The sequence below is a fragment of the Homo sapiens genome, chromosome 7 (genome assembly GCF_000001405.40).
Source record: "Homo sapiens chromosome 7, GRCh38.p14 Primary Assembly".
Taxonomy (NCBI): domain Eukaryota; kingdom Metazoa; phylum Chordata; class Mammalia; order Primates; family Hominidae; genus Homo; species Homo sapiens.
This window is the reverse complement of record NC_000007.14, coordinates 158,037,217-158,063,494: the sequence shown is the minus strand read 5'-3', so window position 1 is coordinate 158,063,494 and position 26,278 is coordinate 158,037,217. Positions and strand designations below refer to the sequence as shown.

The following is a 26,278-nucleotide window of genomic DNA, read 5'->3' as shown; positions in this document are numbered from 1 at the left end:
AGCCTGCTTTTTTCCCCTTATCTGGCCCCACCCACATCCTGCTGATTGGTCTATTTTACAGAGAGCTGATTGGTCTGTTTTACAGAGAGCTGATTGGTCTTTTTTGACAGGGTGCTGATTGGTGCATTTACAATCCCTGAGCTAGACACTGAGTGCTGATTGGTGTATTTATAAACCTTGAGCTAGACACAGAGTGCTGATTGGTGTGTTTACAAACCATTAGCTAGACACAAGAGTGCTGATTGGTGTATTTACAGTCCCTTAGCTAGACATAAATGTTCTCCAAGTCCCCATCAGATTAGCTAAATACAGAGCACTAAATGTTGTATTTACAAACCTTGAGCTAGACACAGAGTGCTGATTGGTGTATTTACAAACCTTAGCTAGACACAGAGTGCTGATTGGAGTATTTACAACCCCTTAGCTAGAGATAAATGTTCTCCAAGTCCTCACTAGACTCAGGAGCCCAACTGGCTTCACCTAGTGGATCCTGCACCAGGGCCGCAGGCGGAGCTGCCTGCCAGTCGTGCACCGTGAGCCCACACTCCTCAGCCTTTGGGCGGTCAATGGGACTGGGCGCCGCGGAGCAGGGGGCGGCGCTTGTCGGGGAGGCTCAGGCCGCACAGGAGCCCATGGCGAAGGGGAGGCTCAGGCATGGTGGGCTGCAGATCCCGCGCCCTGCCCCATGGGGAGGCAGCTGAGGCCCAGCAAGAATTTGAGCGCAGTGCTGGTGGGCTGGCACTGCTGGGGGAACCGGCACACCCTCCGCAGCTGCTGGCCTGGGTGCTAAGCCCCTCACTGCCTGGGGCCAGCAGCGCTGGCTGGCAGCTCCGAGTGTGGGGCCTGCCGAGCCCACGCCCACCCAGAACTCGTGCTGGCCCGTGAGCACCACGCACAGCCCCAGTTCCTGCCTGTGCCTCTCCCTCCACACCTCCCCACAAGCAGAGGGAGCCGGCTCAGGCCTTGGCCAGCCCAGAGAGGGGCTCCCATGGTGCAGCAGTGAGCTGAAGGGCTCCTCAAGCAGGGCCAGAGTGGGCGCCAAGGCCAAGGAGGTGCTGAGAGTGAGCGAGGGCTGCAAGGGCTGCCAGCACGCCATCACCTTTCACTGCCACTGACAGTACCTGGGAAACTGCAGAGCCCCACACACATGTGCACTGACTGTAACAGCAGGAATACAGCCAGCACCTGCAGCCCTGGCTGGTGTCCACAGGACTGAGTTTCAGTCCCATAGCCTTGACTTACCTGTGATGTTGGACACGTTGGTCTCCTCCAGCCTTGTTTTCTCCATCTGTGAACTGGGCCAACGCTCCTCTGCTGTGAGCTGATGCGAAGCCACCTCAGATAACCTCTGTGCTCAGTGCTCTGTGCCATGGCCGTCGCCCGTCGCTTTACTGAGGCTATTGCAGAAGTCAGCGTGGGCTCTGGGCTTCCGCACCAAGGTGCGAGATGCTCACCCCGTGGAATGAGGTTGCTCTGACAGCAGGACCATGGCCGTGCTCATGCCCAGCTCCGCCTTCGTGGGACACCACGCATGGGCACTCCCTCTGGTTGGGGAAAAACTGTCATACTGGATTGTGTTCCTTTTTTGCCTTAAATTATTAGCTGCCATTTTTGCTCATCAAAAAAGTGGCATTAGGCACTTCCACATGGATCGAAGGGCCCTGTCACTAGTGGGTTCCTGCTCAGAGCGTCTTGTGTGATGTTTCATCTTGATGCTTTGACAGGTTAACAACCTTCTCATCAGGATCATTGTTAGGTCCTTCAGGTGTGGTCCTGGGGACCGGTGATGAAGGACACCCCCATTGCATCTCAGCTACGGCTCTTGGACCATGGGCAGCGGTGCTGAAATGACAATCCTGGAGCCACAGCCTTCCTCCGTCCACAGCCAGTGTGCTCACGGACGACACAAGTAATTGTGGACACCACTTTGCCACCACGACTGTTTATGCTGCAGCCCCAGGGGCCACAGCAGCAGCTGGTCTCTCCTCAATGATGGTTCAGCGCCGAGTGCATTGGCGGCACGGTCCATTTCTCTGCCGAGCGCTTGTGTTGTGCCTGGGGTCTGAGCCACAGCGGCAGGTGGATGGGAGAGATTCCCTCGGAACAGGTGTCTGGAGCAGGTGGGTTGCGGGGCCACTGTCAAGCACGTGGGGACTGTGCCTGTGGCTTCATCCCTGCGTGGACTCAGTCCTCCCCTTGTTTTAAGTGGTCCCTGGGTCCTTTGTGCACATCAGTAATTGCAGAGGCGGGACGCGCACTCTCTGAGCGGAGCAGCTTGGCTGGGCTTGTCCCTTTAATTTGCGATGCATCACAACAAATGATTGTAATCAGTCACCGCCCGACGGCGGCCTGCTCTTCCATGACCACCCTTCAGTGAGCCGGCAGCTGAGCGACACGGACAAAGCCGCCTGGCTCAGGGTTGGGGAAAACACTCTTTAGTCAGTAGAGTTAAACCACCTGATTTATTCCATATTGTGGAAGGTCAGTCTGATTTAAGGAAATGTCAGTTTGATAGAATGTTTTGAAAGAAATGCAGCTCATAAATACTGCGCTGAAAGCTCAGCCTTGATACAAGCTCACTTGGTAAAATAACTTAATAAAGGAAACTTTCGATTCAAACAAAAAGCCTTGAAAGGTCCTTCTTCATCCCTCCAGGCCATCCTTCTTAGCAAGGCCTACATGGTCTCTTTCCATGCCATTCATCGCTTTGCAAAACCTTCCCATATTCATAAATAGGCAAAGGTAATGAATGCAATGTCTCTAGCAGGCTGCCTGGTGTGCAGTGGACACTCTGTCAACCATTTCTGGGTGACACCTGCTGTGGGGATAATGAGACCTCCAGAAAGTTATGGTCAAAACCTAACCCCTGCTACCTGTGGATTTGGCCTTATTTGGAAATAGGATCTTTGCAGATGTCAATAAGAGGAGGTCAGACTCCATGAGGGTGGGTCCCAATCCAACATGACTGTGTCCTTAGCAGAAGAGGGGATCACCTCGTGAAGGTACAGACACAGAGAGCGGCCATGCGCAGACAGAGACGGAGAGGTGCCGCCACAGCCGTGGGAGCTGGGGAGAAAGCAGGTTACACACACACGGCGAGACAGTGAGACCTGTGATGGCGGCCGCTGGGGGCTGCATGGGAGATGGGGGAGTTTCTACCCTGCACTGATGTGTCACCGTGTGCAGATGGAGCGTGGCTGCAGTGATGTGTCACTGTGTGCAGATGGAGTGTGGCTGCAGTGATGTGTCACCGTGTGCAGATGGAGTGTGGCTGCAGTGATGTGTCACCGTGTGCAGATGGAGTGTGGCTGCAGTGATGTGTCACCATGTGCAGATGGAGTGTGGCTGCAGTGATGTGTCACCGTGTGCAGATGGAGTGTGGCTGCAGTGATGTGTCACCGTGGGCAGATGGAGTGTGGCTGCAGTGATGTGTCACCGTGTGCAGATGGAGTGTGGCTGCAGTGATGTGTCACCGTGTGCAGATGGAGTGTGGCTGCAGTGATGTCTCACCGTGTGCAGATGGAGTGTGGCTGCAGTGATGTGTCACCGTGTGCAGATGGAGTGTGGCTGCAGTGATGTCTCACCGTGTGCAGATGGAGTGTGGCTGCAGTGATGTCTCACCGTGGGCAGATGGAGTGTGGCTGCAGTGATGTCTCACCGTGTGCAGATGGAGTGTGGCTGCAGTGATGTCTCACCGTGGGCAGATGGAGTGTGGCTGCAGTGATGCGTCACCGTGGGCAGATGGAGTGTGGCTGCAGTGATGCGTCACCGTGGGCAGATGGAGTGTGGCTGCAGTGATGCGTCACCGTGTGCAGATGGAGTGTGGCTGCAGTGATGCGTCACCGTGGGCAGATGGAGTGTGGCTGCAGTGATGTGTCACCGTGTGCAGATGGAGTGTGGCTGCAGTGATGTGTCACCGTGGGCAGATGGAGTGTGGCTGCAGTGATGTGTCACTGCAGATGGAGTGTGGCTGCAGTGATGTGTCACTGTGTGCAGATGGAGTGTGGCTGCAGTGATGTGTCACTGTGTGCAGATGGAGTGTGGCTGCAGTGATGTCTCACCGTGGGCAGATGGAGTGTGGCTGCAGTGATGTGTCACCGTGGGCAGATGGAGTGTGGCTGCAGTGATGCGTCACCGTGTGCAGATGGAGTGTGGCTGCAGTGATGCGTCACTGTGTGCAGATGGAGTGTGGCTGCAGTGATGTGTCACTGTGTGCAGATGGAGTGTGGCTGCAGTGGTGTCTCACTGTGGGCAGATGGAGTGTGGCTGCAGTGATGTCTCACTGTGGGCAGATGGAGTGTGGCTGCAGTGATGTGTCACCGTGTGCAGATGGAGTGTGGCTGCAGTGATGTCTCACCGTGGGCAGATGGAGTGTGGCTGCAGTGGTGTCTCACTGTGGGCAGATGGAGTGTGGCTGCAGTGATGTGTCACCGTGGGCAGATGGAGTGTGGCTGCAGTGGTGTCTCACTGTGGGCAGATGGAGTGTGGCTGCAGTGATGTCTCACTGTGGGCAGATGGAGTGTGGCTGCAGTGATGTGTCACCGTGTGCAGATGGAGTGTGGCTGCAGTGATGTCTCACTGTGGGCAGATGGAGTGTGGCTGCAGTGGTGTCTCACTGTGGGCAGATGGAGTGTGGCTGCAGTGATGTCTCACCGTGTGCAGATGGAGTGTGGCTGCAGTGATGCGTCACTGTGTGCAGATGGAGTGTGGCTGCAGTGATGTCTCACCGTGGGCAGATGGAGTGTGGCTGTAGTGATGTCTCACCGTGGGCAGATGGAGCGTGGCTGCAGTGATGTGTCACCGTGGGCAGATGGAGTGTGGCTGCAGTGATGTCTCACCGTGGGCAGATGGAGCGTGGCTGCAGTGATGTGTCACCGTGGGCAGATGGAGTGTGGCTGCAGTGATGTCTCACCGTGGGCAGATGGAGTGTGGCTGCAGTGATGTCTCACCGTGTGCAGATGGAGTGTGGCTGCAGTGATGTCTCACCGTGTGCAGATGGAGTGTGGCTGCAGTGATGCGTCACTGTGTGCAGATGGAGTGTGGCTGCAGTGATGTCTCACCGTGGGCAGATGGAGTGTGGCTGCAGTGATGTCTCACCGTGGGCAGATGGAGTGTGGCTGCAGTGATGTGTCACCGTGGGCAGATGGAGCGTGGCTGTAGTGATGTCTCACCGTGGGCAGATGGAGTGTGGCTGCAGTGATGTCTCACCGTGGGCAGATGGGGCGTGGCTGCAGTGATGTGTCACCGTGGGCAGATGGAGTGTGGCTGCAGTGATGTCTCACCGTGGGCAGATGGAGTGTGGCTACAGTGATGTCTCACCGTGGGCAGATGGAGTGTGGCTGCAGTGATGCGTCACCGTGCGCAGATGGAGTGTAGTGATTCTACTGCAGTAAGTGGCTAGATTTTCATGGAAGAAAAGAAAACTCTTCTTTATGCAGATTTACTTACAATAGATCATTGTACTTATTTATTTCTAGATAATTATTTGTAAAGCCTGCAACTAAGGAAGCATTCTGTATATGGGTTGTGAGGAGGGAAACTTTCCCATTAAACAGATTAGCAGGAAACAAGGAAAAAAAGATAATGTCGTATTCGTAGACCTGAGGACTTTAACTCCTTCACGGCCCGTGTTCCTTGGGAAGCTTTTGCTGTGTGTCTTTCCAGGTGTGGTCTGGCTGCCGTTGTGGACCTTGTGCACATGAACATGGCAGATGGGGGCAGATGAGGGGTCCCAAGCAGCCACGCTGAGGAGCTTTGGGGAGTGGCGGGGATGCTGAGGCTGGGTTCTTGGAGACTTTGCTGTGGTCCTTTTCCTCATGAGGAAGTGGGGCCTGGGCTCTCTGGGGTCCTCCATGCACCCACTTCCCTTTGCTCAGGAGGGGAGGGCAGCTGGCCGTCTGCCTCACCCACTCCAGGCCACAGTGCCACAGCGTTACGTGTGTTTCCCAAACACAGACTAGGAAAGAATCCAGAACTCTGTTGTGGGGCCAGCAGGTGAGACTGCAGAGGCTATTCCTCGGGTGTACCTGCTCGGTCTGTGACTGACTGTGTTATGGAATCCAAATGCTTGTCCTGAAAAAGAGACCATCATCATTGGGCTTTGCTGCCTGTAACGTGGAAGTTCATCTCAAATCCTGTTTTTCCCCAAGTTTGACGATTCTAGCAGAACAGTCATGGGAGGCTGTCAGGAGATTCAGTTTCCTGTGGGCACAGCAGAAGAGCAAAGTTTCTGGTTCATTCTGTGGTTGCCGAGAGGCAGATGTGCTGGGCAGGTGTCAATAGGAAAAAGCAAAAAGGAGGGAAAGGTGGGTTAAGGGTCATTTCTGTATTTATCATAAAATAGAATTGCAGAGGATTGATGATAGATGCTCCCGCGTCCACAGGTGCTGAGCGGAATCGGGAGCTGGGCAGCGTCCCCGAGTTGCCAATAACCACAGAGGGCGTGACCTTGGGGTCGCTGGGTGGGTCTAGTGCATCTTTTGTTTTTGTTTGTGAATTTTAAAAGCTTGATGGACACATCCGAGGTGGCTGATCATCGGATAAGGGCGACATTGTGAGCCTGGAATGCCACGAGTGGAGCACGCGTCCCGATGTGGGTGGCACAGCTGCACCTGCTTCCACCATGCTGGATGGCCACTCACCGTCCCCTGACCTGGGATGATGCGTGGGACTTAATGTGCAGCTTCTGTAAGGACTCCAAGGGGGTCAATGAGAGGCACTGCCAGGGAGAGCCACTGTCCTGCTGTGTTGATTGTAGGCACTGAACAAGAATCACTCAAAAGCATTGGCAAAATGTAGCTATAAGAAATAGGCCTCACTGGACGCTGGAGAAGCAGCAGCAGGAGTCCAGCACACTCCTGCTCCAGCAGCTGACCGAGCTTTGTGGAGAACGGGTCTGCTGTGGCTGGTGACGGGATGCACACGAAAACATCCCATCGTCAAACCGAGCACCCTTTCAGGGGCTTCTCCTGCCCATCCTAAACCCAGGCACATGTGGAAGTATTTTGTTCTGTTGAAAAATGCACACAAAAGTGATTTTTACAAATGTGTTTTTCCCAACACTTTCCCCTGGGCTCATGGGAGGACGGAGAGAGCACCCACTGTTTGAGCACCAAATCCAGTGCCTGCCGCCCCCATGGGGACAGAGAACAAGCCAGGTGTGCCCCCCTGCTCCCGGCCTCTGTGTGGATGAGGCCCCGGGGAGTGCCTGGTGGCCATGCTGTGATGGCTCAGGGCATCCATTAAGGAGATCTGACCTTGTCTGGGGCAGGGTAACACTCCTTGGCAGAGGTGACCTTTCAGGCGAGATTAGCAGGACCTGCGGGAGTTACCAAGGCCAATACGAAGGCAGGAGGAGCTTCCAGGTGGAGGGAGTGTGTGGGAGAAGGTCTGCATTAGAGCAGAGCAAGAGCCTCCGAAGATTCCAGACTGAAAAAAGCAGCAAGAACCAGACAGAGAGGAAGGGGCCTCGGCCCGGACTCCACCCACAGGCAGTGGGGTCTGGAACAGGGCCCCGTTAGAAGTGTCGCTCTGTGTAGGGTCCAGCCCCACAGGGTCAGTGGGTTTTTCTCCCCGTGTGTGGAGACGAGAGATCATAGAAATAAAGACACAAGACAAAAAGATAAAAGAGCTGGGCCCTGGGGACAACTACCACCAAGTCACGGAGACCAGTAGTAGCCCGGAATGCCAGGCTGCGCTGATATTTATTGGATACAAAACAAAGGGGCAGGGTAAGGAGTGTGAGCCATCTCCAGTGATAGGTAAGGTCACATGGGTTACGTGTCCACTGGACAGGGGGCCCTTCCCTGTTTGGCAGCCGAGGCAGAGGAGAGAGGAGACAGCTTACGCCATTATTTCTGCATATCAGACTTTTAGTACTTTCACAAATTTGCTACTGCTATCTAAAACACAGAGCCAGGTGTACAGGATGGAACATGAAGGCGGACTAGGAGCGTGACCACTGAAGCACAGCATCACAGGGAGACGGTTAGGCCTCCGGATAACTGCGGGTGGGCCTGACTCCACAAGAGGTGGAGGAGTGGAGTCTTCTCTAAACTCCCCCAGGGAAAGGGAGACTCCCTTTCCTGGTCTGCTAAGTAGCGGGTGTTTTTCCTTGGCACTGACGCTACCGCTTGACCACGGTCCGCTTGGCAACGGGCATCTTCCCAGACACTGGCGTTACCGCTAGACCAAGGAGCCCTCTGGTGGCCCTGTCTGGGCATAACAGAAGGCTCACACCCTTGTCTTCTGGTCACTTCTCACTGTGTCCCCTCAGCTACTATCTCTGTATGGCCTGGTTTTTCCTAGGTTATGATTATAGAGCAAAGACTATGATAATATTGGAATAAAGAGTAATTGCTACAAACTAATGATGAATGATATTCATATATAATCATATCTATGATCTAGATCTAGTATAACTATTCTTATTTTACATATTTTATTACACTGGAACAGTTCGTGCCCTCAGTCTCTTGCCTCGGCACCTGGGTGGCTTACCGCCCACAGCTCTGACCACAGTGAAGGGGACGGCTGGGCAGAGCACGAAGGATGGGGAGCAGGCAGGGGCCACCTGGCCTGACCTTGGGCACTGGCGTGCGGGCTGCAGTCTGCAGGTGTCTTGGAGGTGCCAGCAGTGGGATTTGGTGATGGATTGGACAGAGGGGAAGATACAGGAATTAATGGTGCCCGCGCCCCCAGGCACATCAGCTGCAATCATGGAAGGCAGGGCTGACGGTGCTACGGGGCACACTATGGGCAGGACTTGGTTTGGGGTAGGTGGAGGCTCTGGTGCCTGGGAGCAGCCGTGTAGAGGTGTGGGATGGGCAGAGAGGTGCATGCACCCCCATTACTGGGCCCGCCAAAGGGCCTCTCCTGGTTGCCAGATTCTGGAGAGGAGGCTGCACCTGCGAGACCTCACCCATGGGCCACCTGAAGGTGTTCTGACGTGTTCGTTGCATGAATAATCAACCGCAGAAAATAATCTCACGGCATGTTTCATAGACTCGACTCACAGACAAAAACAGCCGGTAAATGTGTGTTTTTCCTTCGTGTCTTCCTCTCTTGCTCTGTCCCCCATCCCACACAGCAGTCTTTTTGAGTGTCTGCAGAAAGGGTGTGGCCTTTCTTTCCTGAGGAGTGTCCTGTCCCCAACCCTGTCCCACTTTGGGACTTCAGCAGTTTTCTTCTTGGTCTCAGGACAAGCACACAGTCGAATCGGCCCACGCATGGGAAAATTTCGGAGAGCTGTGTTCACATCACACTCCACAGGCACATTCCTACTTCACACAGGCCCTAATCAGAATAGTAACTTTTAGCCGAAACCTGTGTGTCAGTGACTTCTCTCTAGGGCCCCCATGCTCTCTAGGGTCTCTGCATCTCTGGGGTCTCTCCGTCTCTGGAGTCTCTGCATCACTGGGGTCTCTCCATCTCTAGGATCTCTGCATCTCTGGGGTCTCTGCATCTCTGGAGTCTCTGCGTCTCTAGGGTCTCTGCATCTCTGGGGTCTCTGCGTCTCTAGGGTCTCTGCATCTCTGGGGTCTCTGCATCTCTGGAGTCTCTGCGTCTCTGGAGTCTCTGCATCTCTGGGGTCTCTGCATCTCTGGGGTCTCTGCATCTCTGGGGTCTCTGCGTCTCTGGAGTCTCTGCGTCTCTGGGGTCTCTGCATCTCTGGGGTCTCTGCCTCTCTGGAGTCTCTGCGTCTCTGGAGTCTCTGCATTTCTGGGGTCTCTGCGTCTCTGGAGTCTCTGCATCTCTAGGGTCTCTGCATCTCTGGGGTCTCTGCATCTCTGGGGTCTCTGCATCTTCCGCAGCGGCTGTCCCACAGCTTATTTACAAGCAGCTTCGGGCAAATGCCTGCCATGTTTAAATACATCTCCTTTTACCACATTAAACCTATTGAACCTCTTTACGTGTGTTTATAAAACACACCAGGAAAATGTTTCTTTCCATTTTGTCATACCATTCGTTCCTCTTCAGAATTTCCCATAATATCAGAAGCTAAAGCTGGTTCTGAATTCTTTTCTTTTCTGTCTTCGCTGTTTTCCCCTTTTCTGTGATCTTTAGCTACACGTTAATTAAACAGTCAGAGCCACATCGGAGTTCGCTGTGCTGTGAGAGGATGCTGGGCCCTTCCAGTGGTGCCTGCAGGCCCTCCTTTCTCATCCAGCTCATGTTTCTCCCTCAGTCACTATGGCTCATCTGCTCCAGTTGTGAGATTTTCCTACAGTGTCAGTCATTTTTAAAGCGCCTTTTAGTTCCCAGCTGCAGATGGCCCAACCATGAAGGCACACTCAGAAATTCCCAGGTAAGCCTGTGTCTCCCCAGCCATAAAAATTCCTCTAGGTTAGTTTATGAAAATCACTTTTATTGACATGACTTGAAATTGAAAAAAAATCCCCTCCCAGGACTGAGAGAGACTGTGCTTCTGGGGGTTGTGCCCACTGGGTGCTTGGGAAGCAGACGCCAGGGTGGGATCGATGGGGGCCAGCCTGGGCAGGGAGAAGGCGGCAGAGCCTCAGACCCCAGCAGGAGCCCCCGAGGTGCAGTTCGCAGAAGGGCGGCACTGGCCAGGGAGGGCTGTCCCTGTAGCCCAGGGAGCTTTGTCCTAGGCTGGGGACAGCCTGGGTGGAGCCTGGCCTCGAGGGAACGTGGTGGACCCCGAGTGGCTGGGAACTGTGGCCAGGTGTCTCCAAAAGATCCAAAGGGCACCCCTCCACAGCCCCCTCGAGGCAAAGCAGTGGCTGCACCCCTCTACCCTCTCCAGGAGGTCCAAAGGGCACCCCTCCACGGCCCCCACGAGACAAAGCAGTGGCCGCCCCCCTCTACCCTCTCCAGGAGGTCCGAAGGGCACCCCTCCATGGCCCCCACGAGGCAAATTAGTGGCCGCACCCCTCTACCCTCTCCAGGAGGTCCGAAGGGCGCCCCTCCACGGCCCCCACGAGGCAAAGCAGCGGCCGCACCCCTCTACCATCCATGCGGCGGAGACTCAGGGCTTCCCCAGGAGGCTGGGTGCCTTTGGTGCTGATGCTCTTGGTGGCCAAACCACACTTAATTTTATTTCATTATTTTAAGAACTTCCCCCAATAACCCACAGAACCAGTAGTCACTGCTTCTAGAGGAATCTAATTAAGGCTTTCTCTCTGTCTTTAACTTTCGCAATCCAATTTTCATACCTGGGTTTCTTCACTCCCTTCTAAGAGGAAGTCGGAAACCAATCAACAAATGAATAGAACATCAAAGGCGATCACTTATGATGGAGAATGCATAATAAACATTAGCACGTTTCACAAAAACATTTCCTCCCGTAGAAGTCATTGCCATATTAATTTAATCCTGCTGTCTAAGATAATATAATCTCTTTGAAACAGTCTTGACTTTAGTGCACAGGGACTTTTCTGGATCAGAGGCGCAATTTCCATCGCCTGGTGAGCTAATTGGATGTGGCAGCCTCCTATGCAGATGGGGACTCTCTTGTCAATGGCCTCCCTTCAGAGACAAAGAGAGACAAATGTCTATATTCATTCCCTCCCCTCATGCATGAGTAACACTACCTTTTCCCTCTTCCTCGCTCTCTACCAGGTAGTCACCGCACATTTAAATCTTAGCTTTTGTGTTTCGAGCTGGCCAAGCCTGCAAAGCTGTTTACAGATGCCTGGCAGCCGGGCCTACTTGTTTAAGTACAGTGTGTATTTTGACATGTAAATTTACATGAGGCATATTTAATCAGTCACAGTGATATGCTAATTGGATTCATCTGTGAACTGAATAAAAAACACATCTAAAAAAAATGAAGTGAACATATTACCAGCTGAGACACTTTGTAATCAGTGCTGAACGTCACCAAAAGGGGAAAAGATGAAGGTGGCGGGCGCTCGCCGGGGGAGCACGACATGGATGTAATTCAGTTAGCCACTTTTCCAGCTTCCTGAGACAGACAGACAGACAGACACAGCTACTGCAAAAGGCCTGCTTTTGTCCTCCTTGGTGCTAATCAGCCAGGAACCTTGGTGCACCTGACACAGGGAGGGTATGTGAGGCCTTTGCAGCTGCTGGCAGACAGACTTGGGAGGGACCCAGGCTGGGGCCAGCAGCTCCTTGGGAGTCTTGGGAAGTTCTGATGTTTGAGGGGAGGGCTGTGCTTCCTGTCCTTTAATGTCCCCACAGTCCCATAATAGCCTAAGAACTGGGTTACATCTGGAACGGAGATCAGGCAGTTTCCTCTCTCTGCACTGTGCCGTCTCCCCTCAGCAAGCTGGTCCAGAGCTGGGCTGGTCCACAAAGTGACACTGCTGAGAGCTGGCTGACACTGCTCTGTGCTGGATGGGGCCCTTGGGGACAACATAGTGCCCTCCAGACCCCCAACAGATGCCCCCTGCAGATGCCCCCCATGGGCACTGCTAGCATCTGTGGCTTCTCAGATGTACACACCACATCTCTGCATTTCATCTTTTGGGCAGAGACTGGCAAAGGAAGAAGAAATCCCCGGGGTGGCTCCACCGCCATGGCGTGCCCCTGGGTGACCTTCCACTCCAGGTGGCTGTTGTCTCAGTGCTCCTCACTCCTGCCGTGGGGAGAGCACTTCCAGCGGGAGGGGCAAGCATCCCTGAGTGCAGCCAGAACCCAGACGGGGCTGCTGAGGCCTCTGAGCTTTCAGTGCCTCTTTGCATAAAGAGGTGTGCACAGAGGAAGGAACAGGACTTATTTTCTTGGTAGGCAGGTACTTGAGGAGATGGAGACTGGCATGGAAGAGTCGTGTGGGGGACAGAATGGTGTGGGAACCTGGCCTGGCCTGAGTCTTCTGCAGAGAAGGAGGCCTTCCCTACCCACCCTAGCACAGAGCTCAGCGTGACGGGGGAGAGCGGGGCCCGAGCTGTGCTCCTGGCACCTGGGAGGGTGTGCAGCTGAGGGAAGCCGGGAGGCTGTGGGATGCAAGCTGGGTGGCTCCTGCATCTTGGGGAAGCTCAGAGAGAACCAGAGGACTGTCTGGATGCCCGAAAGACTTCTAAGAACAGCAGGAGGAGTTTCCAGAGGGAGTTGGCTTGAGGCTCTGCAGATGGGAGTCAGTAAAAGGCATTGAGGTTGCTGTGACTTTGTTGTCACTGGTAAATCTGGAGGACACTGAGCCAAAGAAATGTGAAGGAAAATTGCACCCAAGATATTTTCAAATTGTAGCTTAGTAGAATTATGAATTAAGTTTTTCATTGATTCTAACAGAAGGTAAAAATATAAGCATGATCACTTTAGAACATGAATAATCTACAAAAGGCTGCATTCCCTGAATATTTTCACTCTTTTTAAAGTAATTCTAATAACAGTGTTTTAAACAGTAACCTTTCTGAGGCCACTTCAAAAGCATTCTGACTTTGATGTACCTTTTCAGGAACACGCTTGTTATATAAATCACAATGTGCCCATTACCCTACATGTATTTTATTTCTTTCCTAATAAAATGGGGGTCACTAGCAGTGAATTAATGTGTGCCTGCATCATTCCCTGCCCCTTTCAACTCCTTCAGGAACCAAAGGTAATAGCTACATTGCAACAAATAAGAACTGAGCACCACATTTCTATCAGGTTGCATTTTTTTTTTTGAGATGGAATCTTGCTGTGTTGCCCAGGTTGGAGTAAAATGGTGCGATCTTGGTTCACTACAACCTCTGCCTCCTGGGTTCAAGCAATTCTCCTGCCTCAGCCTCCCCAGTAGCTGGGATTATAGGTGCCCGCCACCACGCCTGGCTCATTTTTTGTAATTTTTAGTAGAGACAGGATTTCACCATGTTGGCCAGGCTGGTCTTGAACCCCTGACCTCAGGTGATCCACCCACCTCGGCCTCCCAAAGTGCTGGGGATTACAGGCATGAGCCCCTGCGCCCGGCCTCAGGTTGCATTCTTTGAGGACCATGTGGGATCAGCTGTGAGGCTGGTGCCATGGAAAAATATAATGTTGGGCCGAGTTCCTCAAGGAACTTCAGCTCAAGGATCAGCTGAGGGTCAGTCCGAAAGAGTGAGTCCTGGCTTCAGGCCTGTGGATGCTCAGGCAGCAGTTCAGGAGGTGAGATGAGCATGAAGAGCTGTGAAAGGAAGGAAGACAGGGCAGAGCATGTAGTGTCGGAGTTGGAGTCACCCACCAGTGTAGCAGAGAGGGCTGAACATGTAGAGGAAGACGGCACAGAGAATCGGGAGTGGAGATGGCTGGGGGAATGATGGGAGATGCCCAACTGAAAGGACAAAGGAGGAGTTCCAGGGCCACCAGTCAGATGGAGATGCTGATGACAATGATGATGATGATGATGATAGTGATGCTGTTGATGGCGATGGTGGCAATGATGATTGATGGTGATGGTGATGATGTGATGATGATGATGATAGTGATGCTGATGATGGCGATGGTGGTAATGATAGTGATGCTGATGATGGTAGTGGTGGGATGATAGTGATGATGGTGAGGGTGATGATGGTGTTGGTGATAGTGATGATGGTGATGGTGGTGATGTGATGGTAATAACGATGATGATAGTGATGATGATGATGGTAGTGATGGGACCATAGTGATGATGGTGTTGGTGATAGTGATGATGGTGATGGTGGTGATATGGTGATGATGGTGATGGTGGTGGTAATGTGATGGTGATAGTGATATTGGTAATGGTGGTGATGCGATGGTGATAATGGTGATGATGATAGTGATGGTGGTGATGGTAGTGGTGGGATGATAGTGATGATGGTGAGGGTGATGATGGTGTTGGTGATAGTGATGATGGTGATGGTGGTGATATGATGGTGATGGTGATGGTGGTTGTGATGTGATGGTGACAGTGGTGATGGTAATGATGGTGATGGTGATATGATGATGGTGGTGATGGTGATGGTGGTAGTGGTGATGTGATTGATGATGATAGTGATGATGATGATAGTGATGATGATGATAGTGATGGTGATGATGGTGCTGGTGGGATGATATGATTATGATGCTTATTGATGGTGATGATGGCAATAGTAACAATGATGATAGGGATATACATTATTCCTATGTAACTTACTCACCTTAAAATACATCATTCAAGTTTTCAGAGTCAAGTCATGTTCCCTTGCTATGAAGAAAACTTAAGTCTAAGAAAATGTAACATGAGGACCAAGAGGAGATGCCCGTGGCTAGCAGGACCTGGTGATTTATAGATGCATGTAGGACTTTTCCCCACATGTTTCTACATGGTCTGTAAGATAAGGAGAGTTTCTGATGCTATAGAGCTCTCACATTGCAGAGATGAAAAGGCACCATTTCCCCAATATTTTATGATGAAAATATACAAACAGAAAAGTTGAAAGAATGGTACTGACCTGTGTGTGTGTGTGTGTGTGTGTATACATATGTGTATTCATGTATGAGTTTCTATCTAGACAGAAAGTGTCCTTAGAAGAAAGTGTGTATGCACCATTCTTGGCCACCTTCGATATCCATCGGGTCCCCTGTCCCTGTTGCTCTGAATTCGGCCCCATTCTAGCTCTTCCTGCCTCATGCCTGAACAAGGAGCTGCCTTACGTGTGTTCCATGTGCTCGGTACTCCTACCCCCAGGTCACCTTGCACTGCCCTGTTCATCCTCCTGTAATGCCACATTGGTGGGTTGCTGACTCACTTGAGAGCTCCCGGCTTGCCCATTTTGCACTGAGAAAAGACTGGCTGCATGTTGCTCTGTGCTTTGCTGTGCAACCCAGCCTCAGCTCTCCTTTGCAGAATGGACCTCAGCTGCTTCTAGTGCACCAGCTGTGCCCAGCAGCTGTCCCTCCCCGGTGGCCTCTAACATGCCATCGGCTCTGAAACGCCAGATGTGCCGTGCCTCCTCTCCCAAGCGCAGTGACTGCAGGCAGCCCTCACATGCTCAGTGACTGCAGGTAGCCCTTGCACTCTCAGTGACTGCAGGCAGGCCTCACACACTCAGTGACTGCAGGTAGCCCTCGCACCCTCAGTGACTGCAGGCAGCCCTCACATGCTCAGTGACTGCAGGCAGGCCTCACACGCTCAGTGACTGCAGGCAGGCCTCGCACAGCACAAGTGGCCTCTCCTTCCCTGAGGTGTGCAGTGGCTCCAGCCTCTTTGGTTGTGGTTACTAAGATTGCCCTTGGACATGATGTGTGTATACTCCTTGTTTATTCTCCTGAGCTGAAAGCTCCTTGAGAGAAAGGGAACTGAGTGACCTGCCCTCGGCTCCTGGCCTGTTCTGCATGGCCCATGGGCTCCAGCCTGGCTTTTTTGGACTTCGGTGACTGTGCTTCTTCCCTGCTAAACCTGCCCATGGGGACTGTTGTATTCATCTGTGTGTTCCTCAGAAAGTAGCAGTGTGTGTCACACAGAGTCTGCACTCAGCAAATGCTCTGTGACCAGATGAGTTTGCATGAGAGAGGAATGGGATGTGGTTTGAGTTGAGTGTATCTGGAGGCTCCATTCCGGGGCGAGGGGCGGGGGCGTTTTTAGGCCAGGCCTCCCTCGCAGCCGCTCGCCTCCCTTGTGTAAACCTGATTGCCTGCCCCTGTACTGATCCTGCAGGATTAAGGTTAAATTAAAAATAAGCATGGATGGATTTAGATGGACTTTTTGGTGAGTGGGCGGAACTGGTGCAAAGCTAGCGGTACACACACCAGGAAGGAAGACAAGAGCTCGGCGCCTCAATGGCAGATGAGGGATTATTGCTGAGAAACCCGTCCTGCCGTCTCCAAAATGTCAGGTTAGGAAATCTGCTTCAGGAAACTCAAGAGCATGCCAAGGTGGCTAACAGGGATGGCTTTTCCCTGTGTTCTGACACCCAGCCCGGCATCCTCTCCTGGTTCCTGCAGCCACAGTATTTTAAAGTCTCGACATCCTTTAGTCCCAGAGCTGCTGCATAACAGTGCATTCTTAGAAACCAGCTGGGCCTCAGGTCATGGTGGAAGGTGTGGTGCTGAGAACCTGCCACATGAGAAATCGCGGGATTGCCTCAGTCCCTGAAGGGCAGTGCACAGAACAAGACAGTGTCAGGATGCCAGGATTGCAGTGTCAGGATGCCAGGATCGCAGCGTCAGGATGCCAGGATCGCAGTTTCTGCTCCTGGACAGAACAAGGCAGTGTCAGGACGCCAGGATCGCAGGTTCTGCTCCTGGACAGAACAAGGCAGTGTCAGGACACCAGGATCGCAGTGTCAGGATGCCAGGATCGCAGCGTCAGGATGCCAGGATCGCAGTTTCTGCTCCTGGACAGAACAAGGCAGTGTCAGGACGCCAGGAACGCAGGTTCTGCTCCTGGACAGAACAAGGCAGTGTCAGGATGCCAGGATCATAGGTTCTGCTCCTGGACAGAACAAGGCAGTGCCAGGATGCAAGGATTGCAGTGTCAGGACGCCAGGATCACAGGTTCTGCTCCTGGACAGAACAAGGCAGTGTCAGGACACCAGGATTGCAGTGTCAGGACGCCAGGATCACAGGTTCTGCTCCTGGACAGAACAAGGCAGTGTCAGGACTCCAGGATCGCAGGTTCTGCTCCTGGACAGAACAAGGCAGTGTCAGGATGCCAGGATCGCAGGTTCTGCTCCTGGACAGAACACGGCAGTGTCAGGACGTCAGGATCGCAGGTTCTGCTCCTGGACAGAACAAGGCAGTATCAGGACGTCAGGATCGCAGGTTCTGCTCCTGGACAGAACGAGGCAGTGTCAGGACGCCAGGATCGCAGGTTCTGCTCCTGGACAGAACGAGGCAGTGTCAGGATGCCAGGATCGCAGGTTCTGCTCCTGGACAGAACAAGGCAGTGTCAGGACGCCAGGATCACAGGTTCTGCTCCTGGGTCTCTCACTGACTAGCTAGCCAACTATTGGCAAGCCCTTTGCACTCTCTGTTCCTTAGGTTTCAAATGATAAAACAGGATGTCTGTGCTAAACAATCTCTGAAATCTGCAATTCAGAGACCGTCTCTGAATGTGCCAGCTGCGCCCACGTCCTGGGGCACACCTCTCTGATTCTTCTTTCCTCTCCTTCCTGTTTCTCATGTCTTGCTATGGATGTGAGTATTTAGAATGCTGACACAAGGCCAAGACCACCAGGAGATGTGGGTGCTCTGAGTGGCATTTATCTGGATAGCTGGGATCTTTACCATGGAGAAGTGAAAAATTAGAAATCTGATTAATGTAAACATCTTTCCAATTACTTTTTTAATAAAAAATTTATTTCTCCAGCCATTTGGAGCTTCCCGACAGAGGGGCTAGCTCAGCCTCACGGATTTGTTGCTGCCTGCTGGAAACAAAGAATGGGCTGCTGTGCGCCACATGACTGCTGTCCCAAAGCCACCAACTTTCTTTAAAGCCGGGTCAGATATCAAGCTTCCAGTCATGGAGGCTTTTGGGTGGTTTCAGCATCAATCTCTGATCAATTCAGGGGTCAATATCATGCATATGTGTAAGTTCAGCCCAGTAGGGTTTAAGTGGATAGCACCATATTTTAATTTAGAAAGGCTTTCTGTAAAATATAACCGAGCAGTGGTTATTGACATAACTCTCAAGGGTGTCTAAGGAAGAGAAGTTGTTGTTATTGTTTGGGGCTGCCCTTCACTGTTTATAATTTTTCCTGTCTGTGATGCTCCTCCTGGTGTCCTCCAGGTGCTCTCGTTGAGAATTAAATGTTGCTCCTGCAGCAGACTCTTTTGTACTTAGTCATCGCCGAACTGGCACCTGTCGGCCTATGGTGCAGGAAAAGATCTCTTTTCCAAGTAGCAGAGAAGATGTTAACCTGGGCCACTTGAGCCCTGGACACTGTTTCTGAGGCAGAGCTCCCATCTTGGTCCCCTGGGACCAGCTGTGGTCTCTTCAGCACGGGTTCTCCTTGTCCCCTGTGGCCTCCTGCAGCCTGTCCTCTGCTGGTGAGTTTGGTTGCAGCAGAGTCTTTACAAATGATCGAGGCCCCGAGCTCTCTGTGCCTGCCTGAGAGCCAGAGGCTGACCCTGCCTGAGCCCTGGAGACTGTGCTCTCTTTGGTGATGCAGATAATTTAGACCAAGCTCCAACACGTTCCCATTTAGTAGGAAAAAGAAAGACACACACATTGGAGTGCTTGCTTTGTTTTTATGAATTCCTATGCAGGTGCAGGATGTGCGGGGAGAAGGGGCCCCAGAGTCCTGTACAGATTCAGCAGCAGTGAGGACGCCCCCCACCCCTGCCTCAGGGCTGTGGCCGCCCACAGTCTGCTGGTTCAATTTTCTCCTCCAGAGGTGAGCTCCCCAGACGCACCAGCTTCAGGATTCCCCCTCCTGCCTCTGTGCCACTTAAGTGTTTTTTATTTAACCAAGACTTTCTGGACATTTCTTCAGTTGCTGACTTTTAAAATTGTGTAACTCAGATAAAGCTATTCTAAATTTTTTTATCTGAAACACCCTGCAGGGTTGCTTTGGGAGTTAATGACTTTTATGAAAATCATGTGTGGCAGGATGTAGTCCATAAGCATAAGATTTACATATCCTCACTGCCCATCACAGCCTCGGCGTGTGGCCTTTCTCTTTATGCTTTGCTCCCTCTGCCACGTCGAGTGACGTGGTCAGCGTACGTTAGGTGCTCAACACATTTTTTGAGCAAATGACAATCAGTCTCACACATTTTATGTAATTGCTAAATGCTGAGCCAACTGTGCAGGATGGTCTGTGCGCTTCTCCCCTCTCGCCACACTGTGAAGTGTCATTTCTGAAGAAATGGTGGGTCTTTCCAGAAGTGTCTGCAGTGCCGGGAAGGAAGGCTTGCTTACTTGGGTGCCCTGGCATTGAGAACAAAGGCTGGTGAGTAGGTTTATAAATGTCAAGCTGCATTTCCTGGCAACCTGCCTTGTGCTCAGAAATTGGCCTCTTTAATGCAGACGGCCTTGCAGTGAGGTCAGGCCCTTCTCCTTCCCATTCACGGCCATGTCTGCCACCCAAATGCCATTCTCTCCTGCAGGAGCTTGGTGCTGGGGAGATATTATTGTTGGTGAGTATTTTTGTTGAAAAACTTACCAACCCTTTAAAGTCAGGTGACGAGAATGGGAGTCCCTCTGATGTTCATCCCTGATCCCTGATCCTCCTGTCCCTGGTCATGAGAGTCCCTCTGATGTTCATCCCTGATCCCTGATCCTCCTGTCCCTGGTCATGTCTACACCCAGGACACATCTCTGATTTAACTAATAGGTAAGAATGTTGTTAGTAAAGGTGACACTTTTTTCTGTCCATGGGATTAAAACCTGGGATTTGCTCCCTTAGATTAGAGGAAAGTGTTCCCCTCCACATGGCACATTACTTTTATCACTAGGAACTTTTTTTTGGTATTTTTTTCTTCATGAGATGGGGTCTTGCTATGTTTCTGAGGCTGGTGTTGAACTCCTGAGCTCAAGTAATCCTCCTGCCTTAGCCTCCCGAGTAGCTGGAACTATGGGCATGGCCACCACGCCCATCAGGAGCTTTTCACTGTAACTTCCCCCAAACTTTCCTCCATTTTTTTGGTCTCTGTCTTGGAATGGCAGATGCGTTGCACACTGAAGGATTCCAGAACCTCCAAGAGTGTTTTGCTTTGTATTGAAATATGGAATTTATAAATGAGGAAACTGTTACAAGCTTTTCTTTTAATTATGAAAACAGCATAATACAAATAAATTCAGAGGCAGTTCATAAAACCTGTTTTCTAGTAGTTTCAGCCGTAAGTCTCTGCAAGCCAGTACTCCCTTTCTTCCCTGGCACAGTGGGCAGCAGATGCTCGTCACCCTGGCCCTGAGACACTGTCACAGACACCCATCGGATTCTTCACTATGGTGTCTATCAGCCGGCTGTGGCTCAGGACAGCCAGGTCCCTTAGGAAGCCCTGGGCCTGGCCTGCCCCTGCCCTCCCGAAGCTTGCAGGCAGGATACCAGCAGCACACAGCAAAAACGTGAACTCAGCCGTGACGGGATACTGCGAAGATGTTAAGTGCGGGGAAAGTAAATGGAAATGTTATATTTAGGATTAGTTCACAGTTCCATGGATCTCTCATCTCTTTCTGAATAAATGATTCATGCGTGTGGTAGAGAGTGCATTACCCTGTGCTGCAGAGAGTGACGTGGATCCTACCCTGTGTCTGGTGCCTGAACTTGTGCAGTTCTGAGCTGTGTTTGGCTTTGCTCCGAAGCGGCTCACCATTGATGGGAACACTGAATCCACCGGAACTCCCGACCCCTCTGCTGGGGAAGAGTCAAGCACGATGGGGCAGTCGGATGAGCTCCTGGTCTCTGCGTTTCACTCCCCTGACTTCTTTTTTCTGGACGTTTGGAAATCCATTCTCTGGTTTCTGTGGGTATGAAGTATGCACCCAAAAGCTGGTGTTTCAGTGCCCGTGGCATCTTGGTGCATTGCATCACGAGATGGAGGCCCCTCACAGGCTCTTTCGTGGGCAGAAAGTGCGTGTCCAGCCGCACGATCTACTGGGCCTGTGATCGTTCTTGTGATACAGATATCTTTCTTTTGACATTGGTCTTTGCTGAGGCTTAAAGCAGGTACATTTTTACATAAAGAATTCAAAATGATGTGATTACTAAGAGTGTTGCAAGATACAAGGATAGTAAAGGAGCCTGACATGGCTGAAGGAAGTCTGTCCTTTCACCACAGACTCAGCCGTGGGTAGGAAGAAGTGTGATTGGGAAGGGTCACATGTCAATGACAGCAAAGACTTAGAGCTGGCCTCAGAATCACCAAGATCATGCAATACTCGTTTCGCTTTTTTGGACCCAAGCACGCAGGTTTCTCTTTGGCCATAGATTTTTCAAGAGACTAAATATTGACTATTTGTAGCCTTCAATTGTTTCTTTTCTTTTCTTTTTGTTTTCTCTCTCTTTTTTCTGGAGACATAGTCCCTCTCTCTTGCTTAGACTGTCACCGAGGCTGGAGTGCAGTGGCAAGATCTTGGCTCACTGCAACCTCTGCCTCCCAGGTTCAAGCGATTCTCCTGCCTCAGCCTCCTGAGTAGCTGGGACTACAGGTGTGTACCACCACCCCAGGCTAATTTTTGTATTTTTAGTGGAAACAGGGTTTCACCATGTTGGCCAGGATGGTCTCAAACTCATGACCTCAAGTGATCTACCCACCTCAGCCTCCCAAGGTGCTGGGATTATGGGCATGAGCCACCGTGCCCAGCCTCAATTGTTTCTTTATTGCAATGTTGTTAAGAACTACTTAGAAAAAAAGCAATAAGCTATTATTGATAATACAGATGATGCATTTGTATTCTTGCTGTGAACTTCCCTTTATAACTAGTAGATCTCTTCCAAGTACCCTGGCTTCCTTGCTGTTCCTCAAACATGCCAAGCAGGATTCTCCAGGGCCTCTGCAGTGGCTCTTCCTGGTGGTGCCTGGAATGCTTTCCCTGGTATCTGCTGTGTCTTGTTTAGATCCGAGTGTCGGACCTGTGTCACTTTCCTTCTGTCAGAAGAGCTTCTTTTAACACTACTTGAAAAGCAGGTGGACCGGGCGTGGCGGCTCACGCCTGTGATCCCAGCACTTTGGGAGGCCGAGGCGGGCAGATCACGAGGTCAGGAGTTCAAGACCAGCCTTGCCAACATGGTGAAACCCTGTCTTTACTAAAAATACAAAAATTAGCCAGGTGTGGTGGTGCATGCCTGTAATCCCAGCTACTCGGGAGGCTGAGGCAGGAGAATCACTTGAACCTGGGAGGCAGAGGTTGCAGTGAGCTGAGATTGTGCCATTGCACTTCAGCCCGAGCAATAGAGTGAGATTCCATCTCAAAAAAAAAAAAAAGAAAGAAAAAAAGAAAGGCAGATCAACTGCTGACAAATTCCTTTAATTTTTGTTTGCCTAAAAAAGTCTTTATTTCTTCTTCAGTTTTGAAGTATTATTTCACTGGACATAGAATTTTAAGTTGGGTGTTTTCTTTTAACATTTTCAATATTTTACTTCATTCTCTACTCGCTTCTTCCTAAAAAGAAGTCCAGCATAATTCTCTCCGTGCTTTTCTATGGGTAAGGTAAGGTTTTTCCCCCCTCTCTGGCTTTGTCCAAAAATTCCTGTCTTTGATTTTTCTGCAGTGTGTGTGCACGTGTGTGCATGTGCAGTGTGTTTGTGTGTGTGTGTGTGTGAAGTGTGTGCACATGTGTATGCACGTGTGTGTGTGCATGTGTATATGCATGTGTGTGCGTGTCCGTGTGTGTGCATCTGTGTGTGTGAGTGTGAATTTGTGTGTGTTGTATTTACCCTTCTTGGTGTTCTCTGAGTTTCCTAGATCTGTGATTTGGTGTCTGGCATTAATTTTGAAAATATTCAGCCATTATTACTTCAAATATTTCTTCTGTTCCCTTTTCTCTTTATCTCTTCCTGGTATTCCTATTATGCATATGTTATACCTTTTGTAATTGTCCCACAGTCCTTGGATATTCTGTTTTGTCTTTTTCTTTTTTTTTCTCTCTCTCTCTTTGCTTTTTGTCTTGGGGAGTTTTTATTGATAGATCCTCATTCTCACTGATTATTCCTCAGCTATGTCTGCTCTACCAATGAGCCCATCAAAGGCATTCCTCATCTCTGTTACAGTGATTTTGATCTCTAACATTTCCTTTTGATTTTTTCTTAGAGTTTCCAGCTCTCAAATCACCCATCTGTTCCTACACATTGTCCGTTTTCTCACTAGAGCACTTCTCATATTCATCATGGGTATTTGAGATTCATTGTCTGATAATTCCAATATCTCTGCTATATCTGAGTCTGATTCTTTTTCTCTTTGTGATTTTTTTCCCTTTTAGCATGGCTTGTAATTTTTTTGTTGAAACCTAGATATGCTGTATTGGATAAAAGAAACTGAGGCAGATTGGCCTTTAGCATTAGGTTTTATCTTTACCTGGCTGTGAGTTAGGCTGTTTACTGTTTGCTGGAGCTGTAATTGTCAGAGGCTAAAATTTCTTCTGGTGTCCTTGTTTTATCTCCCTACTTTTCTTTGGGTTTCCCTAGAGACTTCTCCTTAAATAAAGTCTGATGTGTGCAGTTCTTTTATCTGTAATCCCCTGTCATTATGTGGGAGCCCTGTTGGTATTGATGTGGTGGTCTGGTGTGGAAGGAGGGCAGCATCCTCTGGCCCTGTGATCAGGTCTCTGTCTCAGCCTGAACCTGCACACCTGGGCTGTGACCTCAAGAGGACTTCTCAGCTTTTTCTTTTCCTCCCATAAGTGAAAGGAAGGCCAGATGGGTTGGAATTGGGTATTTTCCATCCCACAACATTCTGGACTTATTTCATGACTGGTTTCATGCTGTAGCTATCCTTTCAAGATGTGTTTTTCACACAGAATTATATTTTGAGGATTTATCCACGCAGATACCTTTAGATCTAGTTTATATGTAACTATGGCATGGTATTACAGTATAATTTATGCATTCTTCCTCTACTGCAGGATATTTAGGCAGTTTTTACATTTTTTCTATTTCCCCACAATATAATTTAATTAGGTGTTATCAGACCTCTCTTTAGTTTATGCCAAAGGGGGAGGGCCATAAACTTGTATCTTATTACAATTTTCATTTGTCTGTATCTGGCAGACAAATAAGGTGGAGCAGCTTTCTATAGCTCTGTTAGCCATTCAAATTTCCTCATTAGTGAATTGCTTGTTTGAACACTTCAATTTTCATGCTGTGTTTTTTTTTGTTATTTTATTATTAGAATGTAAGGATTCTTAATATCTGTGTCATTATTCTAGAAATACATATTTTACATATTATGTATAATCTTATATTTCTATATTTTATACTTTATTATCTAATATAAATACTACATATTATATAATATAAATATACATGTTACATATAAATATATATGTAGACCATATTTATATAGAAATGCTATATGTGTTATATATAGCATAGTATTTTATTATAAAATGTATGTAATTATATTTGAATACTAGTTCTTGGTCAGTGCATTATATATGTTATAAAAATAGAGATATAGCTTATCTTTTATCTTTTTTATGGTGTCTTTTTAATCAGTGTTTTCCATTTGAAGTCTTTGGGTTTCATCATGGCATCTTTCTCTAGTGATTTCATAAAAATATTTGCCCTTATTTTCTTCTGAAGTTTTAGAATCTTTAATCTGTCAGGAATTTTTGTTGTTGTGAGACAGGGGTTGAATTTTATCTTTTTCTACTTAGATAGGGAGTTGTCCTGGCCCTTGTATTTAATTGTTGAAATACCCTTTCTCCTGCAGTGTATGTCTTCACATTGGTTGTCTATCCAGTCCCCATGTGTGTACTTATATTTCTCCCTCCTCAGTTTTATTCCACTGGTTCTGTTTGTCAGTCTTTCCAAAACCTTGATGATTTTCTTTTCTCAATTCAACTTTCTCATCTTACTTTATACATGAATTTCTACTGGAGTATAACATATACAAAGTGTGCACATCTTAGTGCAGAGCCTGTTGACTGTGCTGTGTAGTCACCATCCAGCTCCAGACAGAGCCCTTGGCAGCCCAGACCCTCCCCTCAGCATCTCCTCCCAAGTGAGACCCAAAGCGGGAGGTTAGCGGATTCAGACATCATGCACTCCATGTGTCTGGCTTCTCTAACTCACCATACATCTGTGATACTCACCTGCTGTGGTACAGAGTAGACACTTGGTGTCTCAATCGTTCTGACAATGTGAAATCTTTCTGACAAGGTGAATTGCAACCCTCCCCCATTCTTTCCCCAAATTATCTACATGTCCCTTATTCTAAAATCATTTTTCAGATGAGCTTGTCAAATTTATGAAAAAAGACTGATTGGGTTTTTTGTTGAATTTCGATTTAATGTATAGTTTAGTTTGGACAAAACTGTACAAAAGTACAGTCATTGCCACATAACAGCGTTTCAGTCAACTACTGACTGCATACATGAGGGTGGTCTCCTAAGATTATAATCACATACTTTAACTATACCTTTTTTATTAGATGTGTTCAGACACAAATACATACCATTGTGTTAGCGTTGCCTACAGTACTCGGAACAGTAACAGTAAGCTGTGCAGGTTAGATACGCAAATACATACCATTGGTTACAATTGCCTACAGCACTCAGTACAGTGATATGCCGTGCAGGTTGTGGGTGTGCAGTGGGCTGTGCCAGCTGGGTGTGTGTAAGTGCACTCTGTGATGTTGGCACAACATCAGCTAACGATGTATGTCTCAGAACATGTCCCCATGGTTAGGAGACCTGAGAGTGTATTTACGACATTTGGTCTTCCCATCCACTTCTGTACTTACATGGCATGTGTCTTCGCTGAGTGAGATATTCCTTTGCCATTC

The 26,278-nt window shown here is 49.8% G+C and overlaps 1 protein-coding gene across 10 annotated transcripts in view, besides 2 other annotated features; it reads left to right on the top strand.

The window, feature by feature from the left end:
• PTPRN2 (protein tyrosine phosphatase receptor type N2) overlaps positions 1-26,278 on the top strand; it is a 1,048,768-nt gene that overhangs the window by 524,329 nt on the left and 498,161 nt on the right. The window lies entirely within an intron of this gene.
• Positions 1,647-1,847: a silencer, noted in NCBI's record as "peak6878 fragment used in MPRA reporter construct". NCBI's record gives its function as "represses an SCP1 promoter by STARR-seq MPRAs in K562 erythroleukemia cells {active_cell/tissue: K562}" and the evidence as "EXISTENCE:reporter gene assay evidence [ECO:0000049][PMID:32103011]".
• Positions 12,423-12,599: a silencer, noted in NCBI's record as "fragment chr7:157843588-157843764 (GRCh37/hg19 assembly coordinates)". NCBI's record gives its function as "represses an EF-1alpha promoter that drives an FKBP-Casp9 reporter gene in an ReSE screen in HepG2 liver carcinoma cells {active_cell/tissue: HepG2}" and the evidence as "EXISTENCE:reporter gene assay evidence [ECO:0000049][PMID:32094911]".